We start from the raw sequence: 21,890 nt of genomic DNA, 5'->3' as shown, positions 1-21,890 counted from the left end.
TGGTATTTGGAGCCTCAAGAGGAATTGGAAACTTTTCTCTCTGTGCCATTCACTGCAGTAGCCAATTGCTGGGATAGTATACCAGCTGGCCTTACAGTGTCTGGGTGGAGATTAATATAATTTCACTGTATTTCCCTTGCTTACAATTACATCTCTATTTCCTGCAAACTGTTGGATCTCTGAGCTACTAGTAAAATGCCACTAAGTCTAATTTTTTCCTTTTTTGGGGGGCCTAAAATAAATGAATTGTGACCTGTGTGATTACTGATGGTACCCAACTTGGTTCTCAGAGATGTGTCGAGTAGATTTTTATCTAAAAGATTGAGCATATAGGGCAGTATTACCAGGAAGATGAGAAGGCTTAGGATCTTAAAAATGGGGGTTCCTTCTGATGGCTCAGAGCAAAAGGTCTCCAGTGAGATGGAGTAGCTGTAGAAGATGGGAGAGAACATAAAGTCCAAGACAAAGTCCCAAGATTTTAGAGGATATTCATGCATCGTCAGAGCAGGCATTTGTTGCTCAGAAGCTGTGAAGAAAGAGCCTCTGAATATGTAAAATATGACTGTTGAATTAAATGATTCAGTAGTTGCAGTAGATTATGGATACTTTAGGAAGCTGAGTTAGTGAATTTGAAGATCAGTTGGATGAATTCTCTTAGGATTCAGAAAGAAAGAGGATAAAGATTGTGAATTAAAAAGGCATGGATGATAGTTTCAGATGTGTTCCACTATCCAGTATAGTAGCCACCAGCCACTGTGGCTATTGAGTGCTTGAAGAACAGCTAGTCTGAATTGAGATGATCAACTTATAGAAAAGAATACTATGGGCACCCTGTAATTTCCAAACCCCTTGTTCTACTTGATCTTTTTCACAGCATATATCACCACCTGGCATTTTATGTATTTATTTCTCTTTCCATACTAGACTACAAGCTCCATTGGAACAGGGATTGTGAATTGTCTTGTTCAACACTCCACCCCCGTGCCTAGACAGTGTCTTGTGTATATCTAGATACTGACAAATATTTTGAAATAAGTGAATGAAAGTGTATCAGTATGCTTGGGACTCCCTGTAGCAGTGCCTGGAAGATGGTATGTTTTGCTGCTGCAGGAATTCTCAAGGGACTGGGCAGAGGGCATGTGAAGTAATCTGGGACCTGCTTGTCACCCTGGGTGATGTGCTGCCCTTGTTCTACTGGTACTTGCTGTTGCGGCTGCTGCACTCCCACTTGGAGAGTTTGGCCCAGCAGTTCCTGGACCATATTTGTTACTTGTGCTCACTCAGGTTGAGTTCTGTGGCCAGTTTGTATTCTCAAAGTATTTCTGCTACTCCAGTTATACTTTGTCAACGTTGTATTCCTGGTCCTGCCTCAACTGAGAGGAAAGGGTGGGTGTTAATTCCCGAGGTTCTTGTATCTTTGATTCCGGTACTGTTCTCTTCATGGGTGTTTGCTGATGCTTTATTAATTTGAAATGCAAGACCTTAGGGAAAATCATACTTATTTCATTTAAAAAATGGTGTGTACTGAACTATCTGGTGAACTGTTTTGAATTACACACACTGTATTGTGAACTACATTTGGTTGGATAGTAGGGAGCTTATATAATAACTTGAAATTGAGCCACGTGCTCCTTTGTGATGCCATCTTAATTTTATTATTTCTCCACACCTTTTAGTTCTTTAGTTCGTTACTTTTAATGGCAAAATCTGTGAATTTCTTTTACATCAACCTATTTCCTGCTGTGAGCAATTGGCTGTGATAATTTAAGGAGCCACTAGAGGTCATTCAAGCACTAGAAAAAAAGTTGTGCAAGTTTTAAGAATTTGTTTCAACTTCCGGAAGCAGGATCTGTAGAGGCTGAGCAGGTACATGGTACCATGTTTCATCTTTTTCCTGGTTTTTTAGAAGTTTCTGCTACAGGATGTGTGGCTCCATTCCATTGGTGATTTTTACCATTTGAGAGGAATCAGATGAATGAAAACCATTATAGCCTCTCCAGAAAAATGCAGTCAGCACCTAGCACATGATTTCAGGGGATCTGAAAACTCTGCAGAGTCCACTGGTGAATCTTTGGTTCATAACTCCTGAGACCAGGTTTCTGTAAAACTCACAATTGGGTGCTTGTAGATAATTTTTCAGTAATCAGTAACAAAATTTCAAGTGTAAGATAAATCCTGAATTCTCTATTAGATTTACTATCAGTGAACAAGAAAAATTGTGGTTGAAGTTCCTGTAAGCATTTTATTTTTTATTTTACTTATTTATTCATTTATTTTTTGAGACAGAGTCTCGCTCTGTTGCCCAGGCTGTAGTGCAGTGGTGTGATCTCGGCTCACTGCAACCTCTGTTTCCCAGGTTCAAGAGATTCTCAGCCTCAGCCCCAGCCCCACAAGTAGCTGGGACTGCAGGTTCATGCCACCATGCCCCGCTAACTTTTGTATTTTTAGTAGAGACAGGGTTTCACTATATTGGCCAGGCTGGTCTTGAACTCCTGGCTTCAAGTGATCCACTTGCCTTGGCCTCCCAAAGTGCTGGGATTACAGGTGTGAGCCACTGCACCAGCCTGGTACTTTCTAATATTTTGGATGCTTTCTTACTTGCTAAGCACTTTCTCTTACCTGGAATGTTTTTTACATTACCCCCTCCCCCAGTGATCTAATTTCTACTTTCTCTTTAAAGCCCAGCTAACATTCCATTTTCTCCATCAGGCCTTCCCTAACAGTCCCAGAACTCCTACATTGCCTGGTGTGCTGACCTAAAGCCCTCATTAAGACCAGTAACAAATCAAGCCTATCTTATCAACTGACAACACATTCTGGAACCATGGCGTGTCCATGGATAAGACATGAAGTCCTTCTTTCAAGACTTGGTTTTCTGGTACTGGAAAATACCAATATGGATAAAAGACCTTCAAAGCTGCTACGATGGGTAAGGAACAATGCACACAGTATACCATTAAGGCAAAGAAGATAGTCTTAATCCTGTATGAAATGCCAATGAAGATGTAATTAATGAATAGACATTTCATTGAAATGAAATCAAAAGACATTTTCCTTCTCTGACATAACAGAGTAGAACTCTCTAGTAAGAACACAAAACTGACCAGCCTGACCAATGTGATAAAACCCCCTGTCTCTACTAAAAAGACAAAAATTAGCCATGCATGGTAGCAGATGCTTGTAATCCCAGCTACTCAAGAGGCTCAGGCATGAGAATCTCTTGAACCCAAAAGGTGGAGGCTGCAGTGAGTCGAGATCGCACAACTGCACTTCACCCTGGGCGACAAAGCAAGACTTTGTTTTTTAAAAAAAAGAAGAAGAAGAGAAAAAGAAAAAGAACACAAAACTCTGGTTACTGCTCTATGAGAATTAAGTGAATGTGAAGGAGAAGTTGGAATAATATTACAAGTTGGTGAAATATTGGAATTCTGGTCTGTTGGTGATTGGTCTTCATCTTTTCTATAAGAGATAGCTCATTACACAATGTATTCTCATTTGTCTGAACGGGATTATTTCCCTTAAGGCGATGGCCTCTTCTGCATCTTTATGTCTCTAATGTCTAGCATGGGAACTACTCAATATATATTTCAGGTTGTTGACAATGATTGCTGCTGTCTATTCCATCTAGGTAAGGGTTTTTGCATTCAAAAGGCCCTTTGCCTTAAGACCTAAAGAGGTTTTGGAACATCAGCAAGCATCCATCTCGAGGTAAATAACTGGAATCCCAATGGGCTGTGTGTGTGTGTCTGTGTGTGTGTGTGTGCGTGCTAACTGGAATCCCAGTGGGGTTTGTGTGTGTGTGTGTGTGTGTGTGTGTGTGCTAAATGGAATCCCAATGGGGTTTTGTGTGTGTGTGTGTGTGCGCTCATGCCTGCATACACATGCGTGCACTTCTGGTACATTTTGAACAGGCATCAGATTACGTTCCCACAGCCCCTCTTCATCAAAATGAAGACCTTGTACGTCTGAAATACAGTTTGTGAAAGTCAAATTGTTATCCCTGTGACATAGAACAGCCGTTAAAAATGTATTTCACTGGAATGTCATTCTAAATGAATATTTTTAAATAGATATCCAAAAATAAGAAAATACAGTGATTTTAGTGTAATAAAACTGATTTCACAATTGTTTCAAGAAACTCAGAAAATAAAACTTCAAACTGGAAAAATGTGGCCATAAGAATGCATGGAGCCGGACGCGGTGGCTCATGCCTGTAATCCCAGCACTTTGGGAGGCCGAGGCGGACAGATCACGAGGTCAGGAGATCAAGACCATCTTGGCTAACACGAGGAAACCGCGTCTCTACTAAAAAATACAAAAAATTAGCCGGGCGTGGTGGTGGGCGCCTGTAGTCCCAGCTACTCGGGAGGCTGAGGCAGGAGAATGGCCTGAACCTGGGAGGCGGAGCTTGCAGTGAGCCGAGATTGAGCCACCGCACTCCAGCCTGGGCAAAAGAGGAAGACTCCGTCTCAAAAAAAAACAAAAACAAAAACAAAAAAAGAATGCATGGAGTTAGTTCATTCTTCTCGCCCCCTGGAACTTCTGATCAAAAGTCAATACCTTTGTGACCTACAAGTCTCTTTATTTGCCCTCCATTATAGACTGAGCTGTTAATAACATTTAATGAGCTCACATGGATTCACTGGCTAATAAAGAAGAATAGAGTTGAGGACAGTGCTGCCCTGTTTATGCCCAAAAATTACCCTAAACTGAAAGTTGCTTTGTGTTCCTTCACTCCCCTCTGCTGGTAAATTTTAATATAGTTCTTAATTTTTTTAAGTCAAATTGATAGAAATATCAATTGTGTTTTTAAAACTGTAAGAAAAAATAATGTTGAACATCACAAAAATGTACTCAATCTTTCCCAAAACCCATTTCTTTCCAGTTAGTTTTCATAACTGTAGGTTCTTAAAAAAAAAAAAAATGAACACTTTGGCCGGGTGCGATGGCTCATGCCTGTAATCCCAGCACTTTGGGAGGCCGAGGCGGGTGGATCACGAGGTCAGGAGATCGAGACCATCCTGACTAACATGGTGAAACCCCGTCTCTACTAAGCCAAAATACAAAAAATTAGCCAGGCGTGGTGGCGGGCGCCTGTAGTCCCAGCTACTCGGGAGGTTGAGGCAGGAGAATGTTGTGAACCCGGGAGGCGGAGCTTGCAGTGAGCCAAGATCACGCCACTGCACTCCAGCGTGGGTGACAGAGCAAGACTCCGTCTCAAAAAAAAAAAAAAAAAAAATGAACATGTCATCCATACTTCTAAGGTGTTGTAAAGATGTGTAAAGTTTTCACTTTTTGCATCATATTCACATGTGGCTATATGCCCTTTTCTCTTCAAAGTTTTCTTTATCTTGATTACTTATCAGAGGCTTGACTGTTTTATTATCTCAGTCTTTTGAAAGAATCCTCCTTCAGTTTTATTTTTTAAATCTAGTGGTTTTTCTTTTTCCTTTTTCCTTATGTCTTAATTATTTCCCCCTTTTTGTTTGTTTTGCTTTTCCCAGTTTAGTGGATCAATGTAATTTAAATTGCTTTTTAAACAAACATGTAAGGGTATACATTTTCGTTGGGTGCTGTTTGACTTTGTTGCACAAGTTTTAAAATCTATTTTTTAATAGTTTGTATTTTCTAAATTATTTTATTACAACTTTTGTTCACATTGCTCTTACTATTAATTTTTTATTTTTATTAATTAATTAATTAATTTATTTATTTATTGAGATGGAGTCTTGCTCTGTAGCCAGGCTGGAGTGCAGCGGCATGATCTTGGCTCACTGCAAGCTCCACCTCGGGGGTTCATGTCATTCTCCTGCCTCAGCCTCCCAAGTAGCTGAGACTACAGTTGCCTGCCACCACATCCGGCCTTTTTTGTATTTTTAGTAGAGATGGGATTTCACCGTGTTAGCCAGGATGGTCTCGATCTCCTGACCTCATGATCCACCCACCTTGGGCTCTCAAAGTCCTGGAATTACAGGCATGAGCCACTGCACCCGGCCCAAAAGCTTTGTGTTTTTACAGATATTAGACATGTTTCTTGTTTAAGAAAAAAAAATCTTAATGAAAACGTAGGAGAATAAAAGAAACATTTTTCCAAAAAAGAGAAATCATTGTGATTATTTTATCTTATTAGAATGTTGGATAATATAGTCTGCTTCATTAATCATCAAGCATGCTATGCATTTTCCATTTTTATAGGATCTGTATCTCAGTTAAGGTAATACTGGTAATTTTTGTACTGTAATCAAAGATGAAGAATATAGGCCAAAATCATAGACCTTGCATAGAAGCTGGATAATGAAGACAGCTATGGAGAAAAACATAGATACACACACACGGACACACATATATATAAAGTATACACACATATATTTTTTAAAGTTTTAAAGCTTTTAAAGCAAAAGCCGGCCCCTCTTCTCTTCCAGAGTGGGAGGCCTCTCCCCTCTCTTAGAGTGGGTGGGGAGAGCGGTTGCCATGGGCAGCTTTCCTTGTGAGCCACAGGTCCCTCTGGACACACTGCTTTCTGGCCACGCCCCCTTTCCTTTTCATCTTTCTCATTGACCAATGGGCTTGGAGCATTAAGGCCACGCCCCTATTCCGCATTCTACTGGGGCCCTGGTTACGCCTCCTCTGGCTCAGTCACACAGCTGCCTGGTAGGTGACTGGAGGCCTTGATCGGTTCTCATTGAGATTTTGCTGCTGTGACCCCAACCCTGCCTCCCTCCCCACCCTGCGATGGCAGAAGAAACTCAACACAACAAATTGGCTGCAGCCAAGAAAAAGGTAAAAACGCACTAGGTCATAGCCCCTCAACCCAGCCACAGATCCCCTCTGATGACAAGACCCCTGCCAGAGTCTATACGACTCCTGAGGCACACTGGACTCGTCCCCCCTACCCCGGTGCCTCTGGGCTACCCCCACCAAAGTTTTGTCAGTCAGCCCCACCCCTTCAGCAAGCAGCCCAGTCCTTGCCCTCGCCAATCACCCCAGGGTGACTTTGGGTGGGTGAGTCCTGGGGCTTCCCGCTCCATTACTGGGCCCTCATCTCCTGCCGCCCCAAGCTTGATCTCCCTGGGCTCTTTGGGCTCTCATCTCCAAGGAGCCAGGCCCCACCCTCGCCAGTCATCCCTGGGTGACTTTGGACTGGTGACTCCTGGGACTCCCTGCTGCAGACTGTGCCCTCCCCTCCTGCTGCCTCAAGGTCGACCTCCCTGGGTTCTTTGTGCTGGCGTCTCCAAGGAGCTGGGTCCCAACCCTGTGCTTCCCTCCCCCATCGTGGAGCAGCGACTTGGACATGGTGCTGACATGGTCCCTCCCCCCGACCAGGAGGAGTGGAATGTTGTGATGTCACAGTCCACCTAGTAACTGCCGTTACTGCAAGACTGGCCTTTGATCTTACGACCCAGTCCCCTAAGCGTTCTCACCCCGTTTCTGGTTCCTCTGGTCACAGCACAAATTTCCAGCTGGAAGGGGAATGGAGACTATGGGACCTAGGAGGAAGAGGTTCCAGGCTGCCTCACTCCCTTACAGATGTTGACGGTGGGAAAAGCCTACACTTCCCCCATGAACTCAAAACGTTGACAGTATCTCTGGGTGGCAATGAGAGAATGGGTTTGGTTTGGTTTTCTCCCAGGCTTCTACTTTCCAGAGAGATTTTAACATTTTTTTCTGAGTTCTCCACCTCATATTCTAATTCTCCATGGTTCTGGGACCAGACTCTCCTTCAGTCAGTGGTCTCTGAAGTGACATTTGCTCATCTTCTGTGGAATAGATCTTGGGAAACTGAACTTGACACCTTGAATCTTCCTCATATTATCTCAACCTTGGGTACTTTGAGTGCCACAGGATAAATGTGGGACATCTTTCTGAAGCATCAGTTTCCCTTGATTCTCTTGAGATCAAGAGAAAAAACATGAATGTACTTAGGGATGACAGTCACATAGGTTTCTAAGAGTATACCAGACCTCTCTCTGAAATGAGGCTTGGGTTATCCTCTTTCTGATAAATTCTGATTTAAGAGAAAGGCTGCCTTCTGCCATGAGGACACATTGATATAAGAGTTTGAGAGGTACTGGTGCACTTCTTCACACTAACAGACGTGTGAGGATGTATGACTCTAAACCACATGGCATACAGTTCCTGCCTACTTAATGTTTACTTTTCTACCTCTGCCTCTGGTTTTGGTCCCTGGCAGCTGCTGATTCTTGGCAAAACCTCAGAGCTTGGAGTCAGAAGACTGAGTTTCAAAGTTCCAGTATTGCCTTTTTCTTTTTTTTTTTTCTAGCCATGATATCAATCCTTCTCAGTCACTAAATGAGTGTGACAACACCTTGTACAGTTGTTGGTGTCATTAAATCAGATGGTGTGTAAGTGTATTTTGTAAAAACTGTAAAGGAGGATGTGGCTGTAGGGGCTGATGGTTCTCATGAGTATTACTGCTCTTCTTTCCAACAGTTAAAAGAATATTGGCAGAAAAACAGCCCTAGAGTTCCAGCAGGAGCGAACAGGAACAGGAAAACAAATGGCAGTATCCCTGAGAAAGCCACTTCTGGTGGTTGCCAGCCACCTAGGGATGTGAGTCTTGGCTGACCAGGCTTCTGGGGACAGGGGGCCCAAGGGGCAATAGAGGGTAATTCTTAAGATTGTGGATGGACTGCTGGGTACTGGTTAAGAATTCTGGCTTTAGCCGGGTGTGGTGGCCCACGCCTGTAATCCTAGCACTTTGGGAGGCCAAGGCAGGCGGATCATGAGGTCAGGAGATCGAGACCATCCTGGTTAACACGGTGAAACCCTGTCTCTACTAAAAATACAAAACATTAGCCAAGCGTGGTGGCGTGTGCCTGTAGTCCCAGCTACTCAGAAGGCTGAGGCAAGAGAATGGTGTGAACCTGGGAGGTGGAGCTTGCAGTAGCCAAGATTATGCCACTGCACTCCAGCCTGGTGACAGAGCAAGACTCTGTCTCAAAGAAAAAAAAAAAAAAAGGAATTCTGGGTTTGAATCCTGCCTCTCCATCTGCTCTGCTAGGGATATGATTTAGGGCAAGTTGCTAGACCTCATCGGGCCTCTCTTTTCACATCTGTATAATAGAGGTGTTATTGTTTCACTTCCATTTGTGAAGTTTAAATGAGATTTGTTATTGTTGTTTTTATGTTAATCCCTAGTACATGGCCTGCTGTAAACACTCAGGACACCCAGGATATGGTTTGATTTTCCTCATCCCCAGTCTCAGGGGGAAACCAGGACAATGAGAACAGCCACTTGCCATCAGGAGTCACTGAAGGGGCCCCAGGATGGGATGGTGGGGAGATAAGAACCATGAGAGAAGTTGGCACAAAGGAGTTATGGGACAAAAGGTCCAAGATAGGCAGAAAAGAAAATGTTGCCAGTTGATGGGGAAGAAAGGAAGTCAGAGGGCTCAGACACTGTGGGGGACAGAACATCTCCATGTGCACTCTCATCTCTTGTAGTCAGCAACAGGTTTCCACAGGGAAGGCCCTACATCATCTGCTACCCTGAAAGATCTGGAGGTAAGAGGCTCTGGGCGGAGGTGCAGTGACCCTTCGGGTCAACCCTCCAACCTCCTCCTCCAGGTGGGACTGGGTGCCCCTCTGCCAGCTGAGACAGCCTACACACCCCAGCCCTAATGATTGTTCTCTCTACCTCTCCCCCCACTCCTGCTCCACCTCCTCCTCTCTGCATGCACCTCAGAGCCCGTGCCAAGAACGAGCAGTAGTCCTGGATTCAAGGTCCGTAGAAATCAGTCAACTGAAGAACACCATCAAATCTCTGGTAAGAGTCCACTGGGGTCCCCTGATTCCACGCTGCCAATCCTGGGCTCCAGTTTCCCCTTGGGGCCCTGAAGAAAGGGGCTGGGGGTCCCTGGTGCCTGGGACAAATAGGGAGCTTGGGTGCCCAGGCCTCACCTGGAGGGACCCCAGAGCATGCAGCATGGCTCTTCTTTTGCTGCCCTCTTTGCCGACTCTCTCCTCTCCAGACACCCCTGCTCGAGTCCTTGCTACACACGCCCTGGGGTTGTTGCCTCTTGGGGAAGTGCTAGCCTGACTGGTTGTCAAGGGCCCCGTATTTCTGCCATGACTCAGTCCCTAATTTGCTCTTTGATTCTGGACAAGCCACCTCTCCTTTTTGGGCTCGTGTTTCCAGAGGAGGTAGTGAGTATCAAAGGTCTCTGTTAGCTCTCGAGTCTGAGATTTAAAGGCCCCCTAGAACGGAAACCTCAGGGCTAAGGGCTCCTGTCTGTCCTTTTCCATCCTATATCTGCTGTAAAGAACCGTACCTGGCCCATACATGCTCAGTAAATGTTTATTGAATGAACCCACTTCTCTAAATCACAAGCTGCCAGAAGGAGGGGCCTTTCTGAAACTCCATCTCTAGAGGTTTATATTGCTGTCCTCTCAAGAGATTCCAGATTCAGACTTTGAGTTCTGTGGCTGTGGGCAAAAGCCAACAAAGACCCAAATCCTCTGTCCTTGGGAGCTTGAGGAGAGTTTACCGGTTCGTGTTCCCATTATGTCTGAGAACTTTGCCTTTAAAATCCATTCCTGGCCCCTGCCTACCGCTTCCTGGTCTGGGGAATAGAGTTGAGGGGGCCACCCTCCATCACCTTATTTGACTCTCCCCACAGAAACAACAGAAGAAACAAGTGGAACATCAGCTGGAAGAAGTAACGTGATTTCGTTTCCTCGCAACATGACTGCTGGGTTTGGGGGGCACTCAGACATACAGGCCCCAGTCTCGTCTCACCCACTCCCAGCCTGGGGATGAAGGCTCACCCTTCAGATTCCACCCCATCCCCACAGGGCCCCTGATAACCTGGTCCCATGGGTGGGCCTGTCCTGGGGCATTGGTGGCATTCTGGGGGCATGTCTCTTGCTGTGCCATCTCTGCCTCCCCCTGGTAAGAGCTCTGTCTTCCTCTTCCTACAGGAAAAGAAAGCAAACAACAAGAAACAGAAAGCCAAAAGGGTGCTAGAGGTGAGTGGAGGGTGTGCAGTTTCCTCCTGTCCTCCGGAGAAGGTTTCTTTCCTTCTCTTTCAGCACTTCCTTGGCTTTTCTCCCAAAGGTTCAAATCCAGACATTGAACATACAGAAAGAGGAACTAAATACGGACCTGTACCACATGAAACGTTCTCTCAGATACTTTGAAGGTGGGAATCTGGGCACCCTGTCATCCTTCAACCTGGCACTTTGACAGGTCTTCAGGGGGAGTCCTTTGGGCCCCATCTCAACTCTCTCATTACAGAAAAGTCCAAGGATCTGGCTGTCCGCCTGCAACATTCATTGCAGCGTAAAGGAGAGTTAGAGAGTGTTCTCTCTAATGTCATGGCCACACAGAAGAAGAAGGCAAACCAGGTGAGTCCAACCACCTGCCCCATCCCCTGGGAGCCTGGCTTTGCAGATGGAGGAGTGAGCCTAAAGGTCCCTTCTGCAGGATGGAGTGTCCTGCCCAGAAGGCAGCATGGCCATTTCTTGCTACTTTTTTGTATGGTTTTTAGTGGCAGCCTGGGGCTGAGTCAGCTGCTGTGGGTGAGTTGGGGGTCACTGTGTGGAGTGAGCACTGGACGCAGAGCTTGGAGGCCAAGTGCCTGCCCCGCCCTTACCTGTCTGTGGTCTTGGGCAAGTCCTAGTCCTAGGTGGGGTATTGGGTACTTGTACTGTGAAGGTACAGAAGAGTACCTTTAGTATGTTACCATTTCTGTAGAAAGAGGAAACGCGTGCATGTGTGTGTGTGTGTGTGTGTGTGTGTGTACATACTGTGATAATATACATAAAACATGTCTGCAAGGGTTCATAAAAAATTCAGGAGAGAGAACAAGATGGCTGGGAGATACTTCCCTTCTGTACCTTCTGAGTTTTGGACTATGTGAATGTATCATCCTTTCAAAAAGTGAACAAAAGATTAATTTTCCCCTTCCTATCTGTGCCCCCATCCCCAGCAAGAAAAATGGGCTTAGAGAATTGGATAGACCTGGGTGTTTATATCCCAGCTCTGCCTAAGTGAACTTAGGCAAGCACTTAACCTCAAATACTCCATGTTTTTTCATCTCCACAATAGAGGGAATCATAGTAACTGTCTCCTATGGTGGTTGCGAGGATTAAATGGGATTGTTAGCACGGTACCTGGTGAAGCATTCCACAAAGGTTCAAACAGTGGTAATAATGACAATAATAACAACAGCAATATTATCTGATCTCTCTGGGCCTCTGTTAGCCAGCTATAAACTCAGTCTCATTCCCTGTCCGTTCCAACTTTACTGTGTTCTTTTAAAAACCAGACCACGGGCTGGGAAATGCCTTGATCTTTACTGACCGAGTTGTATATTGGGCCTAGCCCTAGCCCTGTTAAGGGGCACTGTGTGGAAATGCCCAGGCTCTCCAGATTGAAACTTCTCACTCTTCACCATCCAGTTGTCCAGCCGCAGCAAAGCACGTACGGAGTGGAAGTTAGAGCAGTCCATGCGGGAGGAGGCACTACTGAAAGTGCAGCTGACACAGGTGAGGTTTTCTGAGGGAGTTATGTGGAAGGAAGATGACCCCAGGTGGCCAGGAGCAGGTGAGGACCAGTGACAGCCCTTCCTAAGTTCTGTGCCCATTCTTGCAGTTGAAGGAGTCTTTTCAACAAGTCCAATTAGAAAGAGATGAGTATTCTGAACATCTAAAAGGAGAGAGGGCCCGGTGGCAGCAGAGGATGAGAAAAATGTCGCAGGAGGTGAGATCTGACCCTTCAGCCCCCCCACATTAGATAGGTCACTGGATCTTTCTGGTCATCTGTAAAATGGGAATAGTAGAGCCAGAGGTGGTCATGGGTCTGGGCTTTGTGGAGGTGGGGGCAGAGAGGGAGAGGGCAGCCTGTCCAGCCTCCAGCCCCTCTCTCCAAGGCCCTTTCCCCTTGTGCTTTGGGCAGATTTGCACATTAAAGAAAGAGAAGCAGCAAGATATGCGTCGGGTAGAGAAGCTGGAGAGGAGCTTGTCCAAACTCAAAAACCAGATGGGTAAGATGGGGCTGGCATGACCTGGGAGCAGGACTGGCATCAGAGGGCTGTGAGGGTGGCTTAGAGTGCCCCAGGGAGGTGAGTGGATGGAAGGGCTTTGAGGCAGAGGGAAAGAGATCTGTGCCAGGAGACGGCGAGTCTTGTCATCTCAATGAGTCTCAGTGTCTCAGTGTCCCCATCAGCAAAGAGGGCCCGTTGCCAGCCACCCGCAGTGCTCTTTCTCTGAAAGTGCTTTGGAAGACTGGCTACCATCTGGGTGCGAGGAATCATTAGCAGTGAGGCCAAGTTTGAGGAGCCTGAGAGGAGCTGTGCGCCAAGAGGAGGGTTTTTCTTTTCCGAGAATCCAGAGGCCCTTATTATCTGCTTCCTTTCTCAGCTGAACCCTTGCCCCCGGAGCCCCCAGCAGTGCCCTCTGAGGTGGAGCTGCAGCACCTGAGGAAGGAACTAGAGAGAGTGGCAGGAGAGCTCCAGGCCCAGGTCAAAAAGAATCAGCGCATAAGTCTCCTGAACCAGCGACAAGAAGAGAGGATTCAGGAGCAGGAAGAGAGGCTTCGGAAGCAGGAGGAGAGGATTCAGGAGCAGCACAAGAGCCTTCAGCAGCTGGCCAAGCCACAGAGCGTCTTCGAGGAGCCGGTGCGTTGCCCAAACTGGGGAGCTTGCCCTCCTCCCTAGCCCTCCGGGCCTTTGTTTCCCCACCTCTAAAATGGGGCAGTGTAGCCCTCACATGAAATGTTACTTCTAAAGGCACCTGTGAGCCAGGTGGCTGTGGGAGAGAGGGAGTGATTTTTCTAACCTGCCTCCAGCCTTCCCAGTGCCATGGGAGGCAGACACCAAGTTCTGGGGTCTCCAGCTGCAGTGGGTGGCTGCTGATTGCTTCTCTCTGTCCAGAACAATGAGAACAAGAACGCACTGCAGTTGGAGCAGCAAGTAAAGGAGCTACAGGAGAAGCTTGGCGAGGTGAAGGAGACGGAAACCTCCACCCCATCCAAGAAGGGCTGGGAGGCGGGCAGCAGCCTCTTGGGAGGGGAGGTGCCAGGTCAGAGGCAGCTTCCAGCCTGGGGGCTGGTGACCACAGCACCCCCCAGGGCAGTCCTGTTTCTTGCTTCCTGCCTCTGACTTTTAAAGGTGGGTAGCCCTGGGCTCCTCTCAGGTCTGGACATCATCATCCTAGCTAGAGGCATGGAGCCCCCAATCACAGGGGAAGAGACAGTGGTATAACAGGCTCCTTATGCCAGGTGCAGTGGCTCATGCCTATAATCCCAGCACTTTGGGAGGCTGAGGCAGGAGAATCACTTGAGGTCGGGAGTTTGGGATCAGCCTGGCCAATGTGGTAAAACCTCATCTCTACTAAAATTACAAAAAAAAAAAAAAAATTAGCAGGACATTGTGGCGCATGCCTGTAATTCCACCTACTCGGGAGGCTGAGGCACGAGAATTGCTTCAACCCAGGAGGTGGAGGTTGCAGTGAGCTGAGATTGCACCACTGCACTCCAGCCTGGGCCACAGAGTGACACTCTTGTCTGAAAACAAAACAAAAAGACTCCTTAGATTAAAACTGGATTCCAGCCTCGGTTCCACTGGTCACCATTCAAGTACTTTGCATCTCTAAGTCTCTGTTTCTTTAACTTCAAAGGGAAGTTAGCATTTTCCTTACAGAGGTGCTGAGGATTAAATGAGAAGAGGGTATGAGATTTGAGGCTGGGGAAGGAGGCATGGGGTTCTAGGAAAGGGAGGCAGTCACTTAGGCCTGGAGTAAGGGGACAGGGGCCTGGGCAGCTGACAGAGCCCCACAGTGCCCTCGCTACCCTATTAATGGGCCCAGAATCTGGAAACCAGCCACCACATGCCCTCACACCCAGGGTCTTCCTGCAGGTGGAGCTGAAGAGCCAAGAGGCTCAGAGTCTGCAGCAGCAGCCAGACCATTACCTGGGTCACCTGCAGCAGTACGTGGCCACCTATCAGCAGCTGACCTGTGAGAAGGAGGCGCTGTACAGGCAGTGACTGCAGCAGACCCAGCTAATGAACCAGCTGCAGCAGCAGGAAGCTTGGGGCAAAGCGGTGGCTGAGATGGCCTGCCAAAAGTTGCAGGAGACCCAGGGGAGGGAGCTGCCGAGGATGGGGCTGTGAGGGGGATGACCTGGCAAACTCCACCCCTTCTCACTCTGTCCTGGCCCCTCAGGAGCACCTGGAAGCGGCCAGCCAGCAGAACCAGCAGCTAACGGCCCAGCTGAGCCTCATGGCTCTCCCTGGGGAAGGTACGGGAGACTGCTCAGAGGAAGAGGAGAGAGCCCCAGGAGGAAGGGGGGACTGCTAGCAGCATAGGATTGAGGAGTTGGAAGAGACCTTTAGAACAGCTGGTCATTATGCCGACCGGGTGCCTGCACTAAGTTCGGCATCAGTGTGGTGACCTCCTGTGAGCGGGGGGTCACCAAGTTGCCTAAGGATGGCTGAACTGGCCAAGGTCAGAAAGGGAGCAGGTCAGAACTCCCACATCGACCAGTAGTGGGAGTGTGCCTGGGCGGAATAGCAAGCTCTTGATTCTTAAAAGTAAAAATAAAGAACAACAGCTCATTCCTCTCTGGGGAGGGGCTGGCTCAGGGTTACACAGTGAGGGTGGAGGTAGAGGTGGGCCCACAGTACCTCCCTTGTTGGGTTGTCTGAAGACCCCTCTGGCCACCCCCCACAGGACACGGAGAACATCTGGACAGTGAGGGGGAGGAGGCACCTCAGCCCATGCCGAGTGTCCCAGAGGACCTGGAGAGCAGGGAGGCCATGGTGAGCCTGACTCCCCCTGCACCCATTTTGCCACCTTTCTCTGTGGTCCCTCCAAGACCCCTTTATGCTCTTCGTTTCCCTGCCTTCTGATTTCTCTGGACCCTCACCCCTTCCGAGAGCCAGTGGTCAGACACCATTTCACCTGTGGCCAACAGGTGCACTCTCTGAGGCCCCAAGGGAAGGGGCTGCGCTCCACCTCTCTGCCCCATTTCTTCTGTGTATGCCCCTAGAAGAATGCTCACATCTTGCCCTCAGGTGGCATTTTTCAAGTCCGCTGGAGCTAGTGCCCAGGAGAAGCAGGCACAGTTACAAGAGCAGGTGAAAGAGCAGAGGGTGTGCTGCCAGCGCCTGGCTCACCCGGTGGCCTCGGCCCAGAAGGAGCCAGAGGCGGCCAGAGGCCCTGGAGCCCCAGGGCCTGGGGGCGAGTCTGTGAGTGGGGAGACCCACTGGGCCCTGCAGGAAGTCACGGAGAAGCTGGCCCATGCCAGGACTCACCTCCGCCTTCTCCATGACTTGAAAATGCCACCTGAGGGCAGGTCGCTGCCGAGATGTGACTGCAATATTTTGGCTCCAGAGCAGCTTTATGGACCACCTGAAGGAGAAGGCAGACCTGAGTGAGCTGGTGAAAAAAGAACTCTGCTTCATCCACCACTGGCGAGACAGACGCCATCAGTGAGTGGGAGGCCAGGGCACAGCAGGGGGAGCTACAGGGCCGTCGGAGGGGCCCCAGCGTCTGAGCCCTGTCCTCCCGCAGGAAAACCCATCACCTTTTATCAGAACCAGGGGGCTGTGCCAAAGATGCGGCACTGGGAGGAGGACACCATCAGGCTGGAGCTCAGGGAGGAGATGAAGGTAGGGTGTGCAACATCTCTGTGGGGGTGGGGGTGGGGGTGGGTGTGAGGGTGGGCGCAGGCAGCGGCATGGCAGCTGAGCACCCCTCCCTCCAGGTGAAGCTGCTGGAGCTGCAGCAGATGGTATTGCGGCTTACAGCAACTACAACAATGGGCACAGAAAATTCCTGGCCGCTGCCCACAACCCTGCTGATGAGCCCGGTCCAGGAGCCCCAGCTCCCCAGGAGCTTGGGGCTGCAGACAAGCATGGTGGTGAGTAGAGCCCTCAGGTGGGGTGGGCAGGCAGGAAGAGGGGGCTCCCACTGTGCTCAGATCCCTGCCTCCCTCTCTCCAAAGATCTTCGTGAGGTGAGCCTCACCTCCTCTGCCCAAGGAGAGGCCAGGGAGGATCCTCTCCTTGACAAGCCTACTGCACAGCCGATCGTGCAGGACCACAAGGAGCACCCAGGCTTGGGCAGCAACTGCTGTGTGCCATTATTTTGTTGGGCTTGGCTGCCAAGAAGAAGGAGATAAACATCACCATCATCAAACAGCTGCTCAAGAAATTTTTAAATAAGAAACCAAGTTATGGGGTTAATCTCCTACACAATTCATTTACTTCCTTTGAATGTTAGACTCACTCATGATTATTTGTGTTTCTAATTTATAGTTTAAGTTTATTTGTAAAAAGTTAAAAGAGAGTGGGTGTCTGTGGCTCTCACTGATGTTCACTCTGGCATCCTTTAGCATTTTTCTTTTTTAATTTCATAATTGTAGGTCATTAGCGTGCATATCGAGTTTGCCCTTACGTGGTGGGAGTTCAAACACACAAAGACCCACTCTTTGCCCAAAACTGTTCTCTTTGGTTTGGAATAGGCTGCCATGCTTTTTTAATGTTATTGCAGCATGTATATTCACTACAGAATTCAGACAAAATTTGCCTATGTTCTGCTGTTGTTTGATCTAATCTTAATCACAGTGAGCTCTTCCTTAGCTCAATATGTAGTTTGCCCCCAAGTGTGCACTGTTTATTACTTTGTAATACGCCACTATGAGTACTGACATTTAGAGTTGTTTAAAGGCCAAGAACTGGAAACAGCCTTTCCTCCATTTTCTGTGTATTGGTGATGGGAGTGATAACCTTTTGGGGGAGCTTTTTAAATCTCACAGAAGAGGAAAGTGGCCTCCTCTGGCAGGTATGTGCAGGATAGAGTGTGTTTCATCTGTTCCGGTGCCAGGAATTAGCGGTGTATTATGGTGGTTCCCTTAGGATTTGTATGTGCTCTGGGCTCATGAAGATATTGCATCATGAGCTGCAGCAGTTGTACTCTTTTTCGATGACCTAAAAAGGGCTTATTTCTGAGGAATGAAAGGTTCCCATCGTTGACTGTGGATGTGGAAAACCTTTCCTAGCTTAGAGCATTTGTATCTACAATACATTTTAAAGTCAGAGTTCATGTTACCTGTTTTAATCACATGACTACATGTCCCAGTACACAAAAGGGCACTGGTTGGCATTCTTCTTAATGTATTTAGTGAAGATCATAAGAAATCCTTTATGAGTTCAAACGTCCCTGGAACAGGCATACAGGCTCTAGTCAAGAATGAATTAGAGTGAAGGAAAGCTGTGTGACACCTGGCATTCCTCTCTGTTCACGGAGATTCTTTGAGGCTTGAAGATTGATTTTACCATCTAGACCTCTTTGGCTAATACCTATTCTTCAACCACCTTGGTTACTCTGACATAGGAATTTACTTCTTTTTCCTTGAATGGAAAACACTTTAAAAAATAATAGAAACATTATTATAAACTAATATATGTGAGATACTTAGTTGAAACAAAAAGGAGTTTTAGTAGACGGTATTGTACTCTCTTTGAAAATCAAGGAGAAGTTTATGAAACTTAAAATGTGTACAAACTGCAGTGCAATCTACTGTTCATGAATGTCAATGTATTATCAGGAAACGTGTCTATACAATCACAGAGTTATATTTTCTCACAGACTTCTTTACAAAGTGAAATATGTTTTTGTACCTCTGGGTTTCTGTTCGGGACATATTTTGTGCGATATTTATGTGATTGTGCCTATGCATGATGAATGAATACATTTCAGTTATATATTGCCTAAATCGTAACTTGATGATGCTTGGGAAAGACTCAACAGTTAAAACTTCATGAAGTTCTAATGTCTGTGTTCCAAAACACATCACATTGTTAGGATGCAGGGAGATAGGTGTGTGTGCTCCCTGCGGTGGGGATTTCTAGTTACTAGATCATCTCCATTTTTAGCATTTGGCATCCTCATGATACTTCTATAAATATGACATTAACAGGAGAGCAACAATACGATTTTACCGATGGAATAACAGATTTGCTGGCATTCACTGAAAGAGTGCAAATATTCGGTCCTTGTGACTTCCACTGACTCTTCCAAATTTTATGAATGTATCAATGTATTAGATAAACCCAGTTTCAGAATGATAAAGAAAAAATCTTAGACCAAATAATGCGGCTAATTAACAGTGGTACGATTTGTAGCCCGTGGGTTTAAAATGCACTTAAAGTCCTGTTCTCGCCTTTTATTTTCTGAACTTGCCGCTTTTGCATTCTTTGAGTTCAGTTTAAAGACAGTTACTTTAAGAGCATTTTAAACCCTCGGGCTAGAAATCGGACCACTGTTAATCAGCCACATTATTTGGTCTAACGTTTTTTCTTTTATCATTCTGAAACTGGGTTTATCTAATACATTGATAAATTATTGCAAAGGTACTTTTATCGTTGAAATCACTTCACTTTTACCCTGATAAATATCAGTGACTAGGAATGACCTTCGGATAGCGTTTAGCATCTGTAACCAATCTGACAATAATGTGTTCATGAGGTGCCTATGGATTAAATCACACACTGGCATATTTAAGCTGAAGGTCAGTCTGGAAAATAAATTTACTATATTGACTGAAATACCACTCTTTGTGTAGGCATTTGTCATATACTTAAGAAAACGCTAAAAAGAATGGAAATTGTATGACAATAACTTAAGTCTTTCTCCAAAGTGCATGCAGTCTTTTGTGATACCTCATTCAGCCGAGTATTTGTGCTCTTCCTCATTCAGTATAAGGCAGCTTTCAGTTTGCTTAGAAGGCAACATTGGAATGTTAGAGTTCATCAGAAACATAGAATTTTAAACTGTGAGTTCCACTGAATACATTTTAATGTCTGTAGGAAGAATCAAAACACCTATTTAAAGATGGCAATATATAATAATCATTTTAAAAGTATTTGATTCAACCTGATAATTTTCCAGAAATGAAAAAAAAAATCAGCTCTAAAACCAAAGCTGATTTTAGAAAATTTGAAAATGTAAATCAGCCCTATCCATAATATAGTTTCTCTAAAACTTTATCTTAGTCATTTTAAAATAATATAACTATTAAAAAATGTAACTGCTATCTTAATGTTCTGAAATAATTTAAAACATTTTAAAATATGAATACTGTAGTATAAAAGAAAGAAATGGTGGGAACGAAAAGCAGAGAAAGAAATGCCAATTCCAGTCCAAAGTTTTATTTGCCAAGTTTTCTTAGAATGAATTTTACCAGTTTATGAATTATTGTAAAGAGAATGTGTCGTGGAAATACTGAAAGATTTTTCCCTAGAGTGGCCTTATTGACTGCTGGTGTGATGCCACTGTAATGTAATAAATTATTAAGTTGTTTCAATGTGTTGTTTTTGTCTTAAAATTTTATTTTGCGTTTCTTGAAAACTATAGTATTAAAGGTATTGATACTGTGCAAATGCTGGGCATGCTTGGCATGAGATAATGTGTTTCATTTTTACAAAGTTGTGATATAACTATGCAAGTGTTTCTTAAAAGAACACAAGATTTTAAAAGTTATGGGATTAAAAAAGTTATGGGGTGAAAAAGTTATGGGATAAAAAATGTAAAAACGTTGTGGCAAAAAAACTTGTGGGAACAAAGTAGAAAACAGTATTATGAAAAGTTACCAAAAAAGTTATGAAAAAGAAGTTACGGGATTCTTTTTTAAAAAGTCATGGAATAAAAATAAAAATTAAAAGCAGGCCCCTGTCAGCAAAGCCTGGAGAAGTGGGGCCGGAGTCTCCACCGCCACCATGTCCCTACCACCCCTTCCCAGGCACCCCTTTACAATGAGGGTAGCAGGACAAGACCTCTGTCTAATGGGGAAAGACAAACAGACCCTTTGCCACCCTGACCAGGGCTGAGTCCCTAAATTTCTGGATGATGATGATTGTTATTTAAGAGCCAGAGGCTGGTGGAGTTGGTTTGTTTGGAGGAGGCCTGATGTCCCCCTTACTCTCACCATAGCAACTTTTCCCTCAGGGGGCTCCCTTCTTATTCAGAGAGGCAGGACAGTGCGGCTAACTGTGGACCAGGCGAGGGCACGGGCTGCTGGGGTGGCCCCCGTTCCCCGGTGTACACATTGTGTCTGTGTAAGGTTTTGTATATTCCAGAGGGTAGGGCCACCCCTGTGTCATACCTAGCTGAGGTTGAGGCCGGCACATGGGGAGGAGGTTGTAATAATTATTTGTGGCTGGGAAACTTATTTATTGCTAGCATAGGACAGAGGAAGGAGGCGGGGATGGGGTCGTGGCTCCCTGGTGATGCGACTCCTGTTTATTTTGCTTTTTATTTTGGAATAAATGGATTTAGCCATACTGCTCGGCCTGGTGTGTTCCCGTTTCCCTCACTGGGTCCTGGAGTTTGTGCCACCAAACGAGGAGCCCCAGAGTGTCTTGAGTGTGTCCAGCTAGGCTGTTAGGGACCTTCCAGGCGTGTTACCTGTATGCTGCCTAGTGGCGCCTGGGGGATTCCACGGGGACTGCCATGGTGCCTATGGGGCGCAGTCCAGCCCTGACAGCCAACAGGCTCAGAAGCCTGTTGTAGCGGTGGCCAGGAAGACAGGTACCAGCACCTAAGGGCACTGACTTCCACCCACCCCAGGCGTCTTCCCTTCCGTCACCTTGCCTCCCTCCCCTGTCTGCACCTGGTGGCCTGTTCTCTCTGTCCCTCCAGAGTGCCGGCTGCCCGGCAGGCTCCCTTCAGGCTGAGTTCGTGGCCCTGCCCCCTGGTGGCCAGAGCCGGCTTCACAGGACAAGAGCCAGCTAAGTTCCAGGGGCTTTCCAGGAAAAGTGTCCCTTGGAAAGGGTATGGCCTTTTCACCCCTCCAAACAGCACCCTAGAAATGGCTTGGCCTTTCCCCTCCCCTGAGCTCCACAGAGAACACAGCCAGCAGAGGAC

General features: G+C 46.5%; 1 protein-coding gene, 2 long non-coding RNA genes and 2 pseudogenes across 4 annotated transcripts in view; 3 read left to right on the top strand and 2 right to left on the bottom strand.

Annotated features, from left to right (window-relative positions):
• Nucleotides 1–3,316, top strand: part of ULK4P1 (ULK4 pseudogene 1) — a 28,439-nt pseudogene extending 25,123 nt beyond the window's left edge. Inside the window, exon 5 of the transcript NR_026858.1 lies at nucleotides 2,710–3,316. The product of NR_026858.1 is annotated as a ULK4 pseudogene 1 (transcript). The remainder of the gene's footprint in view (nucleotides 1–2,709) is intronic.
• A 3,318-nt stretch (nucleotides 3,317–6,634) lies between these two features.
• GOLGA8K (golgin A8 family member K) lies at nucleotides 6,635–20,328 on the top strand. Its single transcript, NM_001282493.2, has 19 exons — nucleotides 6,635–6,780; nucleotides 8,452–8,571; nucleotides 9,466–9,525; nucleotides 9,707–9,787; nucleotides 10,641–10,679; nucleotides 10,942–10,989; nucleotides 11,078–11,162; nucleotides 11,258–11,367; nucleotides 12,424–12,510; nucleotides 12,617–12,724; nucleotides 12,920–13,007; nucleotides 13,384–13,640; nucleotides 13,896–13,964; nucleotides 15,187–15,262; nucleotides 15,694–15,782; nucleotides 16,357–16,454; nucleotides 16,537–16,634; nucleotides 16,730–16,885; nucleotides 16,970–20,328. The coding sequence occupies exons 1-19, from the start codon at nucleotides 6,733–6,735 to the stop codon at nucleotides 17,143–17,145; spliced, it is 1,893 nt and encodes a 630-aa protein (NP_001269422.1). The 5' UTR covers nucleotides 6,635–6,732; the 3' UTR covers nucleotides 17,146–20,328.
• LOC124903457 (uncharacterized) lies at nucleotides 8,967–13,897 on the bottom strand. The gene is made up of 2 exons (XR_007064571.1): nucleotides 13,801–13,897; nucleotides 8,967–10,935 (listed from the first exon to the last, which is right to left on the bottom strand). It is a non-coding gene; the product is annotated as an uncharacterized LOC124903457 (long non-coding RNA).
• On the bottom strand, nucleotides 14,499–17,077 carry LOC107987221 (uncharacterized). Its single transcript, XR_001751471.2, has 3 exons — nucleotides 16,992–17,077; nucleotides 16,278–16,374; nucleotides 14,499–14,527 (listed from the first exon to the last, which is right to left on the bottom strand). It is a non-coding gene; the product is annotated as an uncharacterized LOC107987221 (long non-coding RNA).
• RN7SL185P (RNA, 7SL, cytoplasmic 185, pseudogene) lies at nucleotides 15,314–15,562 on the top strand (annotated as a pseudogene).

Source organism: Homo sapiens, chromosome 15 (genome assembly GCF_000001405.40).
Source record: "Homo sapiens chromosome 15, GRCh38.p14 Primary Assembly".
NCBI lineage: Eukaryota > Metazoa > Chordata > Mammalia > Primates > Hominidae > Homo > Homo sapiens.
The sequence above is the reverse complement of the archived record's forward strand: the minus strand, read 5'-3'. Positions and strand labels throughout refer to the sequence as shown.

Excerpts from the sequence above, each read along its gene's own strand:
- GOLGA8K (NM_001282493.2), top strand. The coding sequence starts at position 6,733 with ATGGCAGAAGAAACTCAACACAACAAATTGGCTGCAGCCAAGAAAAAG. Across the intron at positions 10,680-10,941 it reads TGGAACATCAGCTGGAAGAA|GAAAAGAAAGCAAACAACAA; the intron begins GTAACGTGATTT and ends CTCTTCCTACAG. Across the intron at positions 12,725-12,919 it reads TGAGAAAAATGTCGCAGGAG|ATTTGCACATTAAAGAAAGA; the intron begins GTGAGATCTGAC and ends TGCTTTGGGCAG.